Source organism: Homo sapiens, chromosome 7 (assembly GCF_000001405.40).
Source record: "Homo sapiens chromosome 7, GRCh38.p14 Primary Assembly".
Taxonomy (NCBI): Eukaryota; Metazoa; Chordata; class Mammalia; order Primates; family Hominidae; genus Homo; species Homo sapiens.
In genome coordinates this window covers 123,604,855-123,625,935 of record NC_000007.14, presented here as the reverse complement: position 1 = coordinate 123,625,935, position 21,081 = coordinate 123,604,855, and the positions used below count along the sequence as shown (strand labels likewise).

The 21,081-nt window shown below is 38.3% G+C and overlaps 1 protein-coding gene and 1 long non-coding RNA gene across 13 annotated transcripts in view; one reads left to right on the top strand and one right to left on the bottom strand.

Annotated features, from left to right (window-relative positions):
• Positions 1-21,081, bottom strand: part of ASB15 (ankyrin repeat and SOCS box containing 15) — a 72,474-nt gene that overhangs the window by 13,546 nt on the left and 37,847 nt on the right. For 5 of the 12 annotated variants that reach the window (XM_011515819.3, XM_017011757.2, XM_011515818.3 and 2 more), the window contains exons 3-9: positions 17,282-17,342; positions 13,536-13,660; positions 11,327-11,435; positions 9,663-9,715; positions 9,441-9,572; positions 8,199-8,357; positions 1,122-1,367 (exon numbers count right to left, since the gene is read on the bottom strand). In XM_011515819.3, coding sequence (XP_011514121.1) covers positions 1,122-1,367; positions 8,199-8,357; positions 9,441-9,572; positions 9,663-9,715; positions 11,327-11,433 — 697 coding nt within the window. In that variant the 5' untranslated portion in view covers positions 11,434-11,435; positions 13,536-13,660; positions 17,282-17,342. Of the gene's footprint in view, positions 1-1,121; positions 1,368-8,198; positions 8,359-9,440; positions 9,573-9,662; positions 9,716-11,326; positions 11,436-13,535; positions 13,661-16,838; positions 16,914-17,281; positions 17,343-21,081 lie in introns of those variants that run through there. The other 7 variants (XM_011515820.3, XM_011515816.3, NM_001290258.2 and 4 more) reach the window with 6 other exon arrangements.
• On the top strand, positions 979-11,775 carry ASB15-AS1 (ASB15 antisense RNA 1). The gene is made up of 5 exons (NR_111922.1): positions 979-1,040; positions 2,776-2,962; positions 4,406-4,542; positions 10,536-10,628; positions 11,700-11,775. It is a non-coding gene; the product is annotated as an ASB15 antisense RNA 1 (long non-coding RNA).

The following is a 21,081-nucleotide window of genomic DNA, read 5'->3' as shown; positions in this document are numbered from 1 at the left end:
TGTGAATGATTAATACAGCTTACTTCACAGGGCTTATTTGAAAATTAAACGTGGTTGTATTGGGACACCTCAAAAATGTTAGTCTTTTTCCTACAGGGAATCACTGGGGATCATGCGGTTCTAGAGGTCATTTGCAGATGAGGACGCTGAGGACCAGATATTTAAGGAATAAGGCTAGGGTCTCACAGTGAGTAGTGGCTCAACCAGTTTAGGAGTCAGGTCTCCTTAACTCATGGTTCTGTAGTTGTATAAAACACCTGGAGGGTTTAAGAAAGGGCAGTGTCACAATCTGTTGGAAAGAATTAGGAAAGGATTTAGGGAGGAGGTGTCTCAAGAGATTGACTTTGAATTGTGCTGAAGAGATAAAGGCAAGGACCTGACCCAAACCCTGCAAGGTACGTTTGGGAATACTGCTAGTATATTTTGACTGGAGTGTAGGATACAAGATGGGAGCAGTGAGGGATAAACGTGGTAAAACAATTTGAGATGATGCAATAGGGATTGTTTTTTGGATAGTTGACACTATTGTAGCTGCCCTATAGGGAGAGGAGCCAAGTTGCAGTATGTACTGTGATTCTCTGATGGGAGACTAGAAACCCAGAAAATGGTTAGAAACTATTTGCACTGGTCCAGGGAGAATTGAGGGACCTGATCAGGATGGCAGATGGATTGCAATGAGAGGACAAGAGAAACGCTACAAGAATTTGCAACTGATTGGATTTAGGAAAGCAGGTGATGGAGGAATTAGAGATAAATACGATCTTTCAATCCTGTTGAGAGAAATTATTACATTAGAAGAGTAGAAAAACAGGAGGAATTCAGTTAAGGAGAAGATGAGCATGAGGCCCTGATGGGCCATCTATGTGCAGATTGAACTGTCTCTCGAGAGAGCAATCAGGACTGGGCTTGTAAATTCGTAGGTCACAATGTATAGGGCTTAGCTGAGTTGTAGAATAAGGGTCTACTGAGGGACCAGGTGGGAAAACCTGATGCCAAGTTCCATTCAGCAGAGGAAGAGGAGCTCCCCTAGTTACATTCAGGTGAGGAAGAGTGATGAATGGAGAAAAGGAGAGTTCGAGAGGCAGGACAAAAGTCAGGAAGTGTAACTCCTTTTCACATACCTTTGTGGATTAGATGTTCTAACACGTCACAGTGACCATACTCGGCAGCGACGCCTAGTGGTGTGACTCCAAATCCATCTCTCAGGTGGACATTGCCTCCATGTTTCAGCAGCAGAGCTACGATATCTTTTCGGCCTTGCTTGGCTGCTTCATGCATTGCTGACCATCGCTTGACACAGGGCTGGTCTAGGCTAGTGTTATGTTTGATCAGAGTCGACACCATGTCATAGGAGCCCTTTTTCACAGCTTGAAAATGATTGTTAAAAACAACAGTAAGTATATTAACACAAATACCTTAGGTGGTATTAAACTAATTACTAAATTTAATATTGAAATAGATACTAGCTAGTAACTTTTTTTCTACAAGGAAAATAATGTATTTCTCATATCCCTTCTGTTTCTCATACCCAAGTTTATATTTGTGAAATATAAGTTTACAAGATGACACTACCTTTTCTTTAAGACCTGGAGGAGGGGTAAGAGTTTCACAGAAAATAACACGTATCACTAGGATAGGATGCTGTGTGCCCTCTTTCCAAATTTTAATTTCTTCACCAACAAAATGGAAATAACACTTGTTGTTGGGTTGTACAAATTAAATAATGTATGTAAAATTCTCAGTGTAGTACCTAGTACATAACAGGAGCTCAGTAACTGGCTATTATTATTATATCACTCCTAGGACCCAGGAACCTCATATGTAAATCATGTTCATCAGGTTTCCCCTATAGAAACAGGGTTTTTTCCCCTTGCCGCAAAAGATAGCAGCAAGTATTGAATGAACTTCTCTTTCTTATATATGTATTTTCTTTCCTTTCTCTTTCTTTCTTTCTTTCTTTCTTTCTTTCTTTCTTTCTTTCTTTCTTTCTTTCTTTCTTTCTTTTCTTTCTTTCTTCCTTCCTTCCTTCCTTCCATTCTTTCTTTCTTCTTTTCTTTTCTTTTTTTTTTTTTGAGACAGAGTCTCGCTCTGTCGCTCAGGCTGGAGTGCGATGGCACAATCTCAGCTCACTGCAACCTCCACCTCCTGGGTTCAAGCAATTCTCCTGCCTCAGCCTCCTGAGTAGCTGGAATTACAGGCGCATACCACCAAGTCTGGCTAATTTTTGTATTTTTAGTAGAGACAGGGTTTCACCGTGTTGGTCAGGCTGGTCTCAAACTCCTGACCTCGTGATCTGCCCGCCTTGGCCTCCTAAAGTGCTTGGATTACAGGTGTGAGCTACCACGCCCGGCCCTCTTTCTTACATTTTTAATGGGTGATTATCAATTAGATTGTTTAGAATCTACATAGGCCAACTGTTCCCAGTGAGTGAAGTAAGTGACCGTTAATGTAGTACAATTAAGGAGGTTCACCAAATCAGTTGTCCCTCTCCCTCTCTGCTCATCTCTAATGGCTGAAATTATACTGTTACAAGGTTTTCCCCTTTTGGATTATTAAGAGATTGTCCCCATTTAGATGTATACACTTCTAAAAATGTAACTTTTTTTTCCTTTTAAGTAAAATCTTATTAAAATACAGATTAGGATGAGTGCTGCCCCTACAAATGGAGATGTACACAGTTACATTCACTCATTCATTCATTCACTCACTCATTTCCTATTCAGTTAATACGGCTAGCTCCACTAAAGGCTCTGTGTTATGCACTGTGGACAACAGGAAGAAGAGACAGATTTGGATCTCACTCGTAGAGTTTATGGCCTAGAGAAGAAGCCTATGCTGCCTTCTATTTAAAGAGAGACTCAAAGTCTGGGCCTGTACTGGGAAACGTAGAAGAAGATATGAGGCCACATGGAACATTCTGGGGTAACCAGGAGGCAGAACGCAGAAAGGATCTAAAGCCAAGGCAAGGAAAGCAGCTCCCAATGTGGTAATGGGAGGATGAAGACGAACTTTGCCTACTTCATTTGGGAGCAGGCAAGCCATCCCTGCAGGAGATGCCCGTTTTTCTCCCTCTCCTTGTCTAAAGTAGAACCTGTTGACAAATGCCTCTCTCTGAATTGCCCAACTGTCACTGGCAGCTCTAATTACAGTGAATTACCTCATGCTAGCTGGTGTTATTGCAGAGCAAACATCAAGTAAGCTAAACAAACTAAGAGAAATGTGTCCTCATGGATCTTCTTGCTCTGATGGCAGTTTTTATAATTAGAAAAAAAATGTATTAAAATAATGAGCCTGTTCCCTCATAATCTTTTTACCTTTTGTCTGACTCAGAAAACATATGGATTAAAATAGTTTCTCTTCATGAAAATAACTGCATAAATGGGCCATCTTCAACTTAAGATAGTTTTTAAAAAATCAAAACTTCACTTCCAATTTAATTTTTTGAAATCAAGAATGTATTTCCCATAGAAATAATAATGCAAATGGTAGGAAATCCCTTCCAAGCTAACTCATGAAGACATTCTTAACCAATAAATGACTGAAATAATGAAAACTCATAAAGCACAGTATTGGTGTAACATAAATGATTAAGTAAAATAATTTAAAAATGTCTTGTTTTACATGTGGATTATATATATGTTTACATATTATATATAAATTTTTTTCTCTAGAACTTAAAATTCTAAAATCTAGAATTCTTTAGAATTTTTTCAGAAATGTTCAAATTATTTATTAATTTTTAAAATGTATAGCTTCAATAGTAATGCTTAAAACTGACTTTAAGTTGAAGAGTTTAGGGAATTAGATTAAGAATTTTGCATAGATGATAGGCAAGGGTTATCTTGATTATCTTGACAAGGACTGCTGGATTAAAAGCGGAAATGGAGTGAAGAAGATGTGTATTGATTTGTGAGAAAGAAAATGTCTGAAGCAAAATGAACTGATCTGTGAATGGGGTAAGGCCATCAGGAATGGAGGGCAGTGGGACTGAAGCGTCATGCCAGATGGTCCCTGAGCGTCCTCCTTACTCTGGGCTCCACTGGCCAGGATCAGCTTGTGCCTATCCAACTAGGGAAAGGTGACACCAACTCCAGGGGAGTGGGCAGAGAAGGAGTCCAAGTGCAAAAACCTTTAGTAAGTGTCAGATCATCACAAATCAGATATCTACCACTCAGCAAGAAACTCGATGACTATAATACATCAAAGTACCTTAAATAAGGAAGGGCCAGATGGCTGATAGGGAATAAGGGTCCCAGAGGGACCAAAAGTGATTTTTTTCTTGGCCCTCTAAGGATATCTCATAAATAGAGATAAGGATGATGCCATTAGGGTAAGAAAAATTAACATGGCATTGTACAGACAAAAAGAAGAAATACTTTTTTCCCTCTTATCTCTCCTCTACAAGTTAAGGGATTCTGAATAGCAAATCTCAAAGAAGACCATAGATTCAAGAACAAACTGAGGAAGTGCCATGAATAATCCATTTTCCTATAAAACCTAAGAAGACTTGGCATGGGTTCCACAACAAAGGTGCTGATTAAGGTAACCCAGGAAAAGTCCCTATTCCCCAGATGTGTGGCTGATGAGGATGTATATGAGCACCTCCAGGATATTAACTTCATGGAGACTTTAGTCCTCTCTCGACCTTACCACTTAGTTTTTAAAATATATTACTTCCTAATATTAATTCTATTTCAACTCTGATAACTCAGTGATAGAGTTCCTTTCCTACACTTTAGATATTGCTAGCATAGAGAATGAAACCAACATGGAACTTTGAAATGCATGTAAATGTTTACTGCTCTGTTGTAGGCCTTAAGCATTAAAGAAAAATTTAAATGAGGCCAAAAGAAAACAAGGAGTGATAATCACGGCTTAGTTGTCCTTTAAGAAATAAGTGGATTGATACTAGCAAGTAGAGAATAATTCTGTATTTGCAAAGTGAAGCAGTATACAATTCTGGAAGTGTGTCCTTTTTGTGCAGAAATTCAAGGTGATCTATAGAAACAACACAGGTGTTGCTGCAAACACTCCTGTGGCATATTCTGGCCTTTAAAAAATAATATAGGTCACGGGCCAGGCACAGTGGCTCACGCCTGTAATCCCAGCATTTTGGGAGGCCGAGGAGGGCGGATCACGAGGTCAGGAGACCGAGACCATCCTAGCTAACATGGTGAAACCCTGTCTCTAATAAAAATACAAAAAATTAGCCAGGCATGGTGGTGGGCGCCTGTAGTCCCAGCTACTCGGGAGGCTGAGGCAGGAGAATGGTGTGAACCCGGGAGGCAGAGTTTTGAGATCGCGCCACTGCACTCCAGCCTGGGCGACAGAGCGAGACTCTGTCTCAAAAAAAAAAAAAAAAAAAAAAAAAAAAAAAAAAATATATATATATATATATATATATATATATATATATATATATATATATGTATGTATATGTGTCACATTACTAGTGGTGAATCAACACCCACAGATACATATTCTGTTTAATATCTGTAGAGCCTGCTCAGGAAAAGAGTTCTGGTTTATTTATGAAAAGTGTCACGTGACTGTGATTTAAAGGCAGATTAAAATGTATGCAGAGACTATGATTGGTTTCTCAGTATTTATGCTTCCCCTTTTCCTTCTAGCTACAGAAGCCCCAAGTATTTAGCTGGCCACAGACCATCCAGGTAGACAATAAATGTCCTGGCCTCCGTTGCCCCAAGGTGTGGTGGCATTGTGACAAAATCTGAACTAATGGGACATGAGTGGAAGGGCCGTGTGCACTGTCCCGGTCATCTTTTTAAATTGAAGATGCTTGCCTAGGGCTTCCTCTTTAGTCCTTCCTGCTGCCTGGAAAATGGCGACGTTGGGAGCAACTTTGGAAGCACACTGTAATGTTGATACAGCCACCCTCACAACCCTGGGCCATTCTGCAATGTGTGAGAGAGAAATGACTTCTTTCTCTTTAAGCCATTCTTGTTTATTTGTTTGCTTTGTGGATGCATTTTTGTTTTTTGTTACAGAAGCTTTGTCTGTATTCTAACTATATGGATTAGATTGTTTTTCCCATCTTATCTGAATTTGTGAAGGCTGAAAGTTCTGACATGGGGCAAGAGCAGGCAAGAAGGGGCCAGGAGCGGTGGCTCACGCCTGTAATCCCAGCACTTTGGGAGGCTGAGGTGGGCTGATCACGAGGTCAGGAGATCGAGACCATCCTGGCTAACACGGTGAAACCCCATCTCTACTAAAAATACAAAACATTAGCTGGGCGTGGTGGCGGGCGCCTGTAGTCCCAGCTACTCGGGAGGCTGAGGCAGCAGAATGGCTTGAACCCGGGAGGCAGAGCTTGCAGTGAGCCGAGATTGCGCCACTGCACTCCAGCCTGGGCAACAGAGCGAGACTCTGCCTCAAAAAAAAGAGTAGGCAAGAAGGAACCAGGCCAAAATGACACCGTGCCGTGGAGACCCTCTTCACTGAGCAAACTGTATCGGGGCAGAACACCTGCCGTTCCCCTATACAACCCTCAAGGCAATCTCCAAGAGCAAGGCTCTTTGAAGTCTTTACAGATTTACTGCTTTTTTATTCTCCTAATTTAATTTAAATATATACTTTATTATAGCACTTATAACACTAATTTTCCATTTAAATCACATCTAATTCTCCTCCTAGACTCTGAAAGGAGGAAGATTAGTCCATTCATCTTTATATCCACACTACCCAGGACAGCGTCTGGCTTAATGTGACTTCTTTTTTTTTTTTTTTTTTTTTTTTGAGACGGCGTCTCTCTCTGTCGTCCAGGCTGGAGTACAGTGGTGCGATCTCGGCTCACTGAAACCTCCACCTCCCAGGTTCAAGCGATTCTCCTGCATCAGCCTCCCGAGTAGCTGGGATTACAGGTGCCTGCCACGAAGCCCAGCTAATTTTTGTTTTTGTATTTTTAGTAGAGACGGGGTTTCACCATGCTGGCCAGGCTGGTCTTGAACTCCTGACCTCGTGATTCGCCCACCTTGGCCTCCCAAAGTGCTGGGATTACAGGCATGAGCCACCGCGCCTGGCCAATGTGACTTCTTAATACGTTTTTTACATTGATATTGTTGAATCAATGCCATCAAATACAAATATTTTACTGATGTTCATGATTTATCCAAGTTTGCTTAACAATATTCAGGTTTTCTTAATATTAAGGTTGTTTAAAATTTTTTTTTAAGTGATTCCTCTGTGAACAGGAGCTGTGATGGTTCTTAACTAGTTATGACCTTTAACGTCTTTCTCTGTGATTGCTGGTAAATAATCTTACATCCTTTCCTCCCTCTCCTCCTGCTCCTGCTCCTCTTCCGTCTCCTCCTCCCGCCACACAGACAACTTCATAATGGCTCTTCCCTCTTGAACATCTATTAATGTGAGAGCTTTTATATATTTTTTCTCTAATTTTCCTCACAATTCTGCATGGTAGGTGTTGTATTTCCATTTTATACTTGAGAAAACTGAGGCCCATGATTGCAATTCACAGCTAAGATTTAAACCCAGTGATCTCACGTGCCAACACCACATTCTTACTCCACCACCCTGTGTCCCTAAGAGAAAGGAAATGTTATCTCTGGGTCATTTGGAGTTAATCTTATCACTCTCTGCTTTCACAAACAGACTTGCCAATTCTTATTGTTCAGCAAATAGCGGGATATACAAGACAGAGCTGGTAAATGTCACCTTCAGATTTCCCATTCTTCCCTCGTGTCACAGTGTACCCCTCATAGGTGCCATGCTCTGCATCTGTGTGCTCAGAATCTGCTGGCCTCCCTTCCTTCCAGGTTCGCCTGATCAGTCTGATGTGAACTTGATGTCTCCCTTTGGAATCCCTTTCCACCTCTTGCTTCTGGCTACATATGGCACATGCAACCCTCCTTACAACTGGATCCTACCTAGAGAATATTCCTTTAAAATTGCTATCTCTGGCTTCAAAAAACTAATTCAGATCCCTCCTGGTTAGTTGCAGTCTCTACAACTGGATACTGAAGGATGTAGCCATCTTTCATATTTGACATCCTTGTGGGATAGGAAAACAAAATCACAGGACAGAAGACATGGGGGTTAGGCAAGTAGCTCAGGGAATGGAAGGAACTGAGATCACAATTTTAGCCATTATACAGTGGTTTCCAATAAATACTTATTCTTTGTTTCAAACTATAAAAGTTCTAGAAAAAAAGGTCATTTACCAATCAGAAGGGGGGTCTCTCCTTTATCATTTTTTGTGTTGGGCCACACTCCCTTTTCTAATAAAGTTCTTACATTTTCCACCAGACCAGCTTTGACTGCCAAAGTCAAGGGTGTTTCTCCATCACAGGTCTTGAATTCCCAGAGTGTCTTATAGGATGCTGTGACATGAAAGCATTATGTTGAAAAGTTGAAAATACTCACTTATAGGATATTACACAAATCAGAGCAATCCAATATTATATACATCGGATTGAACAAAGTCAATTGATGAAAATGAAAGGACTTTGACAAAAGTTTACCAAATGACGGTGAGGATAAAGTAGATGCACATGGACTTGCTAATCAAATTGACAGCTAGAAAACCAAAAATCTGTTTCTAGCTGCTTTTTTGAAAATGATGTGCTAAGTCTCATTTCTTGATACATTACAAAACAATGTTTCAATCCTTTGTATTATAATTTATATTGTAACTGAAATTGTTTTTTTGTGAAATGAAATCTGTGAATGTGGGAATGGAGAATGTACTTGAATGTAGGTATCGCTGTGTCAAAATGATCCTTAACATCATCTATATCTGTCTGTCTGGCTGTCTAGTTTTCTAGATGGCTGGCTTATAATCAAGTATGTATCTCCCAGAACATAGAGCTGTCATGCAACAGTGGAAGCTGAACGATAGGGCACTCTCAAAAGTGTTCTGTAAGATGCTGAGATGTGAAAACACTGTATTAGAACATAAAAGTTACTGTTAATATTTAACAGTGGCTTGATTTGCCATAATATTTTTTAATGCTTACATTATGAAAAAAATCAATGTAATGTAAAGACCAGTATTGTCAGTACTCCCTGTTGTACTATATAAGAATCTTTTGGAAACTGTTAACTCAAGAGATAGTTCAAAATGAAAAATTTAAAATTGATTTCCAAAAGAAAAGTGTTATATATGACTCAATTAATTCATGATATATAGAAACTTTTATCACTTTTATGTGATAACCACATCTTTCCACCAACCTGTGTCTCATTCATAGGTAAAAGGATGCAAAAGGTAAACCCCCAATGTCAAAAAAATTCCTAATTTTTATACTCTGAGTTTAAAACATGGGTGCTGCCTTTTTCAAATTCCAAATAATATTTTAATCTGCCTTTTCTTTCTGCTAGTTATGTTCACTGAAAACACTTATAACATCAACATATCAACATTCTTGCTCTGGCTTGGTCAAACATGTTTTATGTTCTCTTACCATCCAGAACAATCTCAAGTATTTGTTGAATGGGTTGAACAACAGCTTCATGCAATGGAAACCATCCTTTTTCATCAGCTTCATCCATTGCATATTTATATTTTACATACTCCTGGAGCTCAGGAATGTGACCTAAATTAAACACATGGACTGATGACTAATCTCTGTTTTTGCAAGGTGGAATCTCCAGTCCATCCCACTGTAGATAGTACACCCATTTACCTTGTTTTATGGCCTCCACAAGTTTTCTGTTTTGAGCACTTAGGGGTACAAATCTATGAGATAAAGAAAAATAATATTTATACTAGATACTAGTGATATAGTTCAAGGAACCAAACATTTTAATTTATATTGCATTTTTAAACTTAATTTTAATAATCAAGATCCAAAGGAGATGCATATAATTGATTTTATCTCCTTAAAAAGTAAATGTATGGGAGTCAGACACAGAGTATATTTATGATGCATTGATCTAAGAATATTAGTGAAGATGGCAAAATAGAAGATTACAATGCTATCTCTGAGATATCTCAAAGCAATAAAAAAGGAGTAAACAATTGGAGTCAGATTCAGAGGAGCTAGGTTCAATTCCCAGCCTGATTTTGTGATTCTGGGGAGGCCAATTAGCCTTTCTGGATGTGGGTTCTTCATCTGCAAAATGATGGAATTAATAGAAAGATCTCTAGGTTTTTCTAATTTTAAACACTCTATGCTCAAAAAATGTTTTTTGCTTTGAACTTAATAATTGCTAATAAGATACTTACTTGGGAGCTTATGGTCTAAACTACATATGCGAGTTTTAAATCAACTGTTCCACAAGTGAAAATAGGCAGGGCATTTACTGAACAAACTCCCAATCACTGGCCCAGCAGGTCATGATTTAAACCCTCATGGAGGTTTTCTGGTGTGTGTGTTTGTTAAGTGGAAAGAAGGAATTCCATAACAAATTTACTTAACTCTGTTAAGCAGAAACATCTGCTAGCATACCAGGGTTGTGAATGCCTTCCAGGAAGCTCTGAAGTTCTAAAGCTTGTTGGAGATAAGGGAGAAATTCCAGACCAGAAATTTCAGTGTACTACGTCTATTTTTTCAAAGCTCAAAAGCAACAATTTTTAAACACTGGATCTCTTCAAAAGTACTACTAAATTCCAGAATACAAGATTTTAAACACTATAACAAAAAGTAAAGGTAAGCTAGTTTATTTCTCAGACGTATAATGTGTTTTTTTAAGAAAGAAATTTACTTTTGCAGTTTTAGACTCTATAAATCCTACCTACATAATACATCACTTTTAGGTATATTTTAATTTATTAATTCTTGTCATTTGGGTAGTAGATAATCAAATAGGTGGTAGTTTGTATATTACTTTGCCATATAGAATAAAAGCCCACAACGCTTCTCTCATTCATTAACTAATGGGCTACATGGCTTAGCATTATTCTTCATATTTTAAACATACAACAATGGAATACGTTACCTATAAAGGGTTAGCTGTATCAGTAGCAGAATGAGCTCTAGAGTGTACAGACCTCTGTATACCAACCTGTGTATTTGTTCTATAAACTGTACTTGCAAATATGTTCAAATTACTCATTGCCCTTTGTTAATCTATATTAATTTAGAAAATAGGCAATTCTATACAACCAAATTCATCTAGGAATTTTCCACATAGGGTTTTTCCTGTTTTCCACATGAGGTGAGGATTTGTGGAAGATCAGATTGCTAAAACTTATGAACAGTGGCCCTTGGAAAGCTGTTAGATTCCCTATCAGAAAGGAAAGGTCAATTTTCCTAGAGGAGGAATTAGGAAACGGTATTCATTTTATCTTACAACAAAATGAATGCCATAAAGAAATTTTGCTGAGGATAGTTGGTTTGAATACTACCTTTCAGGACAAAGTGCAGTCTTGCTGGCTTCAATGGATTCTTGAATACTTAGCTGAATATCATAACTTGTAAGATGGTCTTCATCAGGGTCATCATTAGTATCCATTCCTGCATATAATTTTGAACGAGACAAGTTCTTATTATCAAGAAATGGCCCAAAACAGTACATAGAGTAAACATGAAAAATGCATAGTGAAAAACTAAAATGCATTTTCCTTTCCCTAGTTAACAAATACAAATGTGGGTAACATTTTAATCCACATTACTTGTGAGGTCCATTTTATTAACTTAAATGGTCTAACTGTTGAAACCTTTAATGACCTGCCCTTTGAGCATTTGCACTTTCTAACTTTTGACTTTTTTTTTTTTCAGTAATGACTGCAGTTGGGCTTATAAGAATTCACTTTTTCCTGAGCTTCTGATTGATGCCAATTTTGGTCCATCAGTTTTCTTGGAGAGTGTGTACATAACATATTAAAAGCTTAAAAATTGATCCAATGAGGGTAAGATGGATAATGGCTGTAATGGAGAACAGTCATCCTGTTACATTCCTTTTGTTTTTGGAGATGGAGTCTTGCTCTGTCGCTCGGGCTGGAGTGCAGTGGCATGATCTCGGCTTACTGCAACCTCCGCCTCCTGGATTCAAGCAATTCTCCCTCCTCAGCCTCCTGAGTAGCTTGGATTACAGGTGCACACCACCATGTCTGGCTAATTTTCATATTTTTTTAGTAGAGACAGAGTTTCACCATGTTGGCCAGGCTGGTCTCAAACTCCTGACCTTGTGATCTGCCCACCTCAGCCTCCCAAAGTGCTGGGGTTTACAGGTGTGAGCCACCATGCCTGGTCCCTTTTACATTCTTCACAAACCAGCAATGGTCAGCTTCAAAGTCTGACTGGTCTCAGAGCATCATTTGAACATTGTTATAAGGACCATTTTAACTTCATCCATAGACCGGAAACCAGCCCTCCTATAGAGTCCCCATTCACTCCCTTACACAGTTCTATTACAAGCCACTGCTCTTGACTGGCCCACCTCCCTGAAGATAATACAGAAAAATGTAGATTAGTCTTCATTTGCTTATTTATCCCAAATATCAAATTAGGAGAATGAATTTACTATTTTACTCTTTACTATTGAGTCAATTGCTTTATTTTATTTAGAGAGGACATTTAGTAAATATAGAAATAAAATTTCTATAGCTGAGTTGACTGGCTAATATGAAATTATCTTTGATTGATGGTACTTTTCAAGCCTTTTATAGTCTCTATATGAAATTTTACTTTATAGTATGTCTTCTGAATGAGAGAAAAACAAAAGAGTGCTCTGCAGGCAATTTCCAAAACACAGTTGACACATGCTTTACCTCTTCTCATTCTTCCTCAAGGTTGGATAATTTCAAACTCTATACCTGCTAACATCCAAGGTCTCTAACCTGTGGACAGACTGCGCATGAACTCAATGGCAATATTATGATTAATTGTTCATTGTTCTATATCAGTGGCCTTAATATCACCTCAGAACAAAAGGTATAGAATAGTGCTAATGTTCAGAGACCACACACGAGATAGTCACCATGCTCCACCAAGCATGTTCCCTGACACTGTGGTATCTCAGTCTCCTCAAAAGGCACCCTAGAGATCTTATTCACCACATAGATGTAAATGGTATTTTGCTTTTTAATTTATTGTTTATTGGCTCATTGTGTGTCTCCTCTCCTTAGAATGTAACTCAGTAAAAGCAGGGAATTAGTCTGTGATCTCAGTGCCAAGAGAAGCGTCATCTCCAGGTTTGTGCTCTCTAAATATGTGTTGAATAAATGAATTAATGAATTAATAAGTGAGCATTGAAATATAATTCGGGCTCTTCTTTGTTCTTAGAACTGACCATTTCCTTTGGATATGGAGTTTCTTTTTTTTCCAACTAAACAAATTTGATTGTTCACTCTGTGCTTAGCTTCATTTGTCTCTCTTCTGTTCTTTTACATAATATTTCTCTTTATTCACGAGGCCCTCCAGCTGATCCCCATCCATGGCTCGCACTGTGTTAAGGCTGGCACAAGACATTCCTCCTATATAAACTCTCGGTATAATTCTTCAGTTCCTCTCCAGCCATCTTAATCTGTGAATATCTCCTCTTATGTAATATTTTTCCAATGTCTGGGTTTATACTCATTCATTCTGTATTTGCTTTACAAGTTATTTACATACTTGTGTTTGTGTTTTCACTTGGACCATTGGTTTTCTGAGAGGAAACAAAATCTCTTCTTTTCTCTATCTTTTCCCTCTATTCCTTCTCCTTGTCAACTATTGCAAACAGCTGCTGTCAGTGGTCCCTGGAATAAAAGTTGTTGACTCATTACTAGCAGACAAGTACTGAATCTGTCAGCCAGCACCAGTAGATGACAAAGTTCAACCTGTGGCCTTGCCTGGTGACTTTCTCAGTGATATTACTGGGGTGATAGGGGGGATTGTATGGCTCTGGGATTAGTAATAGGATACAGAGCCTTTCACCTATTTAAATCACCAGCTTAAATCTAACCCTGTTTGAAATTTGGGCTTTCAGTGTATGAGAGAGCACAGGCTCCATAAAGAACTGAGCTGGTCTGTGGAAAGTATTTTATTTTAACGTTTTTTTTTTTTCTCCTACTATCACAAAGGAAGTTCCCTAGCTTCCTGTTTGGTATCTCTAATGACAGTAGGGTGAAAATGATCGGAACACTTTCTATGCAGAACAACGCCAATCTAGCACAGGTGTCTCCAGCCTTTTCCTGAAAGCTTGAGATGAAGTGAAGATCTGCATGCAGGTGTACTAAGGTGCCAGACAGTCAGTCAAAGGAGCATTACTGGAATGGACTTAAAGACGTCAAGACACAATGATAAAGGCAAGAGGAGAGTAACTTATTTATCTAAACCTCACATAAATTTATCCTTTAGATAAATAAGAGTAACTTCTTTATCTAAGACCAGTTCAGTTCTCTATGGAGCCTGTGCTATCTCATAAATAAGAGTAACTGGCCGGGCACCGTGGCTCACGCCTGTAATCCCAGTACTTTGGGAGGCCAAGGCGGGTGGGTCACGAGGTCAGGAGATCGAGACCATCCTGGCTAACACGGTGAAACCCCGTCTCTACTAAAAAAAAATACAAAAAAAATTAGGTACGGTGGCGGGCGCCTGTAGTCCCAGCTACTCGGGAGACTGAGGCAGGAGAATGGCGTGAACCCGGGAGGCGGAGCTTGCAGTGAGCCGAGATCGCGCCACTGCACCCCAGCCTGGGCGACAGAGCGAGACTCCGTCTCAAAAAAAAGAAAAAAAAATTATTTATCTAAACCTCCTTGAGTGGCTAGGACTCAATCCCACCTGAGGGCCAGCAACAGTCTATGGGAAATTATTTCTATAAAGCACTACTCAGAAGCATGAGGAAAGGCCAGACAATATTTTGACATCTTTAAGGTATATGTGTGGGTATCCCACTTCTCAGTCTAGAGAAAATTGATTTTTCTTTTCTTTTTTTTTTTTTTTTTTTTTTGAGATGGAGTTTTGCTCTTTTGCCCAGGTTGGAGTGAAACGGCACAATCTTGGCTCACTGCAACCTCCCGCCTGCTGGGTTCGAGTGATTCTCCTGCCTTAGCCTCCCGAGTAGCTGGGATTATAGGCACCGGCCACCATGCCTGGCTAATTTTTGTATTTTTAGTAGAGATGGGCCCCCGCAATGTGCTAGGATTACAGGCATGAGCCACCATGCCTGGCCTAGAGAAACTGACTCTTAATAATAATTTGCCATTTAACATTCAATCTTGTTCTAGAGAAGACCACAAGATAAATCATTTGTTCTCCATAAGTAGCTGATTTACAAAGTAACTGATGCAATCATATTGTACAATCAGCCTCTTCATTTAAAGCACTGGTTAACCTTGCTTAGGGTCATGAAAACATTTGATAAAAGCTATGGATTCTCCCTCCAGAGGGACACATGTCCACTCAAAATTTTGCATGCGATTTTAGGGAACTTATGGAATCTCAGAGGTTTTTTCATGTTCTCCTGGTAAAAAACCACTGAATTAAGGATTCCTAAATGCTAAATGCCAAATATATTCCTCAGATATCAATAAGTTTTAGTTTATTTTACAGATAGGCTATGTTAAATCCTTAATTCAGATAGTGAGAAAAGGGAACTTTGGTGATCATGTAAATTTTTTGATACATTTGGCAATAGTAATAATAACCATAAATTATCAAGTGCTTGCTTTGTTTCAAGCACTGTGCAAAGCATTTTGCATATATTACCTTGTTTTAAATTCTCATTCCAATTCTATATTGTAGGTATTATAGATTCAAGAGGTTAAATGACCCACCAAATGTCCCAGAGCTAATAAGTAGAGTCTGGACCGAGCAGGAAATACCTTCACTTTTAAGGTCTTTCAGAAGTTAGAGGAAAATATCTCACAGTCTGTTGCCTTTAAAAGAAAACACTGTGATCTTGCTTTTAACAGCCAGCATTTGATGACAATCACTTCCAAAAATAAAAAATAGCTTCCAGGGACACATAAATCTTTTTCTTTGGCTCCATGCAATAAGGCTTTATGTTACTTAGGGTGGTCTGAGGTTCCTAAGCTTGCCTTCATTCTGTACTTTTTGCCTTGGAGTCTAAACATCATGGTCCAAACAACAGGATCGACATACCAGTTGGTGCCTGACTGAAATGGTGAGGAGGTTGGTAATGTTGAAAAATATGATGCAGGAGTGAACATGAATATATGACACCTTTTTGCATCAGTTTTGCTAAACTGCCTCCAAACCATGATCAGAGCTAATGCCTTCCTGTAAAGGCAGCTGATAAATTTTTGACACCTGTCAGAGCTTCCTTTGAAATACAGTAGCTCCCACAGCACGGAACCAAGGTTCTCCCTTTCCCTGAAAAAGGACGAATACAACTTTCTTCCTCATGTATTGTTTAGTTGGTTTACTCCTGCTTACATGCAGATCTGTTTTCCCCACCTACCCTCACACTCTGTCTTGGGCATAACAAAATTGAAACCATCTCTATGAGTCCTAAACAAGGCTGGCCTTGAGACTAAGCAGAGTGGACAGTTGCTTCCATGGTGCAAGGAAGGGCTCTGTGTCTATAAATAACACACTGCCCCCAGCACCTGTCACATCAGTGTCATTCTATTGCATCAGCAAGAGATTCTGTCCTTTAGGGCTTATTGTTCCATCTTCCAGTGTCCCTTTTAAAATTTAGATAGCAACATACTGGCCCCTAGTTTAGAACCAAGATGTCTTGGGATAGTTACTGGAGTACCATGAGGCTGGGAAGATGGCAGAAAGTTTAAGGCTAGGATCTAGTAGGAAGTGATACGAAGGGACAACAAAAGGGTCAATAGAATACAATTTGGTTTTCTTTACAATTTTATCCAAGGCCAGCCCAAATAGAAACCCTGGGGTTCTGAGGGAGATGCAGGTTTCGGCTGTGTGGAATGGGGGACACTGATTCCCTGGGAATTTTTCTTTTACCTTGAAGCTGCAATGATTCTCGAGTGTTGAGCTAATCTACTAGAGGTCCCTGAGAGAATCATCAGGATTTATCCTATCAGAGGAAGGGCAAGAGTTAAAAGACATTTTCTTTTTTTTTTTTTTTTTTGGTACGGTAAAAAAAATACAGTTGTTATATACCAAACAATACGAATTCTCATTTTTATGCACTTTGATCATTTGTATGCATACTTTTAAAGATGTGGAGAAATCAATATAAATACAATTCTGTTATAACTTTGCTTTTTATTTGGTGGCTGAATGCTTATTTTTAAAGAATTGCATAGCACAAAGTGGCAAATCACATGAATGGATTCGTTAGGATGATTTAAACAACAGAATCAACTAGTTCCCCAAAAATTTCAGATAGAAGTGTAACTGTCAGAATTGGGTTTTACCCCACAGTCACAGGTAATTTTACTTACAAGCAATAAGTTACAGCGATTCCTTCTTTATGGTATTTGCCTTTTCTACTGAAGAGAAATCCTAAGCATGATGGGGAGAACTAAATCAGTTTAAATAGCATCTTTCTTAACAGCAAAGTATGTTCTTCTGATACCTTGAAAACATGCACACACACAAACAATCTTAGTCCAAAAAACAAATGCTACTTTTATGTTACTTCGAAGAAACACAACTCAACATTTTAGAAAAAGATATAAAAGGCAAAATGATCTGTAGAAACTAAACATGATATCTGGCATGGGATAAAAACTCAGCATTTACTAAATGAATGAATAATTGTATAATTAAATACACACAACTCTTAAAATTAGCCTTGTGTTTCTTTATAGGTCACAGATATATTTTTGCCGAATTCTCTTCAAATTTTGGGGCTTTACTGATTGATGCTTAATTTCTATGCAAATATACTAACGATAGAACCCGTTTAGTAGTTTTATCTCCAGTTTCATATTACAAAAGTAAAAAATTTTAATGAAATTAGTATGAGGACTAGATAAAAAAATAAAATAAGAACAAGAAAAAATAGAGAAAAAAGAAAGTTTTACTCTTTACTATTGATTTCCAAGTCAAATTTAATTATAACAGAAATGTGGGAAGATGCATGTTAGCTTTTGAGGACTACACTCATAACAGTTTAGGAAGGAGCTTTAGACTCACAAACTCACAGGTTTCTAGGGGAATATAAACTTACAGAATAGCAAAGAGTTAAAGAAAGATAAGCCCATGAAAAGACAACTTATTAGTAGACGTGCCCTGATCACAAGCTAATGTGATATAATGATTTTTAAAAGCCCTATCCTTCTTCTGTAATTCTATGTCTAGGAAGAAGGCCGGGCCTGGTGGCTCATGCCTGTAATCCGAGGACTTTGGGAGGCTGAGATAGGTGGATTGCCTGAGCTCAGGAGTTTGAGACCAGCCTGGGCAACATGGTGAAACCTCATCTCTACAACAAATACAAAAACTAATTGGATGTGGTGGTAGGCACCTGTAGTATCAGCTACTTGGGGGGCTGAGGTGGGAGGATTGCTTGAGCCTAGAAGGTCGAGGCTGCAGTGAGCCATGTTCATGCCACTTCACTCCAGTTTGGGTGATAAAACAAGACTCTGTCTCAAAAACTAAATAAGTAAATAAATAAAAGAAATAATCAGAGATGTAAAAAAAGATGTGCATGTGAGAATGTTTATCTCAGCTGTGTTTAAATTGCCAAAACATTAGAAACAACATAAATGTCCCAAAATAGGAAATTTGTATAAGACATTATTGTACACATAAAAATGGAATACTACACAGTTATTAAAATTCATATACTTGAAGAATATTTAACATTATATGTAAAGTGTTAGTTTAAGTATGATGTTTATTTAACCAGATATGACTAACCACTTTTAAGGAACTATGATGGATTTTTCCCCCAACTTTATTGAAGTATAGTTGACAATTTAAAATTATATGTATTTACCATGTACAACTTGATAATTCGACATATGTATACATTGTGAAATATTCACCACTATCAAGCTAAGTAAACTATCCATTCTGGCACATAGTTTATCTTTTTTGGGGGTATAGCTATTTTAAAAAACAGTACAAAGGTTTCTCAAAAATTTAAAAATAGAACTACCTTATGATCCAGCAATCTCACTTCTGTGTGTATATATCCAAAGGAATTGAAATCACTATCTCAGAGAGATATCTGCACTTCCATGTTAGTTGCAGCAGTATTTACGGCAGCCAAGATATAGAAACAACCTAAATGTCCATTGACAGATGAATAAATGAAGAAAATGTGCTGTGTATTTACAATGGACTATTAACCTTAAAAAAGAAGAGAATCTTGCCATTTGTGACAACATGGATCAACCTAGAGGACGTTATGCTAAATGAAACAAGCCAGGTACAGAGAGACAAATATTGTGATATTTATCTGTGGAATCTAAAAAGTTGAAGTCATAGAAAAAAGAGTAGAATGTTGGTTGCCTGGGGCTAGGAGGTGCTGGCCAAGGGGTACAAATTTCAGTTAAGCAGGATGAGTAAATTCTGGAAATCTAATGTACAACAATGTAACTGTAGTTAACAATATTGTATTGTATACTTGAAATTTGCTAAGGGTGTAGATTTTAAGAGTTTTCACCACCAGTAACAACAAGAAAAGTGAACTAAGATGGACTTTACAGAGGCAAAGCTTACAAAGCCCTCTCAGGAAAATTAGCTTAGCATCTACCTCTTAGGACTGAGCAGGCCAGGAACCTTGGTGACCTCGAGAAGAGAGAAGATTGCCCAAATGTACAGGAAAGCAGGTAGAACTTGGTGAAGAGAGTTTCTTGGCGTGGGAAGGAGCAGAAATTTGAAAGAGCAATTCATTTATCTGAATCGTCCAAGCAGTGGCTTCATTACCTAAGTTATTGTGTCTGTCTGCATGAAATCAATAGTTTATTTTCCATTAATTAGTGAGTGGTGGCTCCTGAGAAAGGTGAGGCCAGTTACAGACAATAAAAAAGCTACTTTTGGTTTGTGCAATTGAGTTGTAGGGTGAGTAAAAAACGTTTTGACTACATTGATTACCTATAGTAACAATAAAAATAATATCTCCAGACTTTTAAAAAGTATTATTTTTTTTAACTTTCATTTTAAGTTTTATCTTAACGTTTGTTATATAGGTAAATTGTATATTGCAAGGGTTTGGTGTACAGAGTATTTTATCATGCAGGTAATAGGCATAGTACCTCATAGGTAGTTTTTCTATCCTTGCCCTCCTCCCACTTTCGACCCTCAGGTAGGTCTTGGCGTCTGTTGTTCCCTTCTTTGTGTCCGTATGTACTCACAGTTTAGTTCCTACTTGTAAGTGAGAACATGGGGTATTTGGTTTTCTGTTCCGGTGTTAATTTGCTTAGGATAATGACCCTACAGCTCCATCCATGTTGCTGCAAAGGACACAATCTCATTCTTTTTTGTGGCTGGCTAGTATTCTATGGTGTATACGTACAACATTATCTTTATCCAGTCTACTGTCATTGTGCATTTAGGTTGATTCCATGTTTTTGCTGTTGTGAACAATACTGCAGTGAACGTACGTGTGCATGTATCTTTATGGTACGGTGATTTATATTCCTTTGGGTGTATATCCAAAAATGCGATTACTGGATTGAATGGTAATTCTGCTTTAAGTTCTTTGAGAAATCACCAAACTGTTTTCCACAGTGGCCGAACTAAGTTACATTCCCACCAGCATTGTATAAGCATTCCCTTTTCTCCATAACCTCGCCAGCATCTGTTATTTTTTGACTTTTTAGTAGTAGCCATTCTGACTGGTGTGTGAGATGGTATCTCATTGTGGTTTTGATTTGCATTTCTCTAATGATTAGGGATGTTGAGCATTTTAAAAAGTATTATTCTTATGCATATACACATAAATATTCATATACAAATATATATGCATATATTCTCTCCAAAAATATTCATTCCTGGCATAATGTATTTTGTTCAACATGACAAACAATCCTGTCTGGTGCTCAAGTCAAATTTTTTTCCCTTCAAAATTGATTCAAATAATAATGAGTCACTGCATTTTTTCATATCTTGTTTTGAAATCATGTACAGGCCATTGATTTCTTTCTGTTGGAGGCAGTTGAATATAACGGTTGAACCTTTGTTCAAATGCCGACCTGCCTGCATTAGCTGCCTGGTTAACTGTGTCTGACGTGTCACAAGTAGTCAGTAAACATTACCTGTTATTATTCTGTGATTGAACTCCTGTGGAATG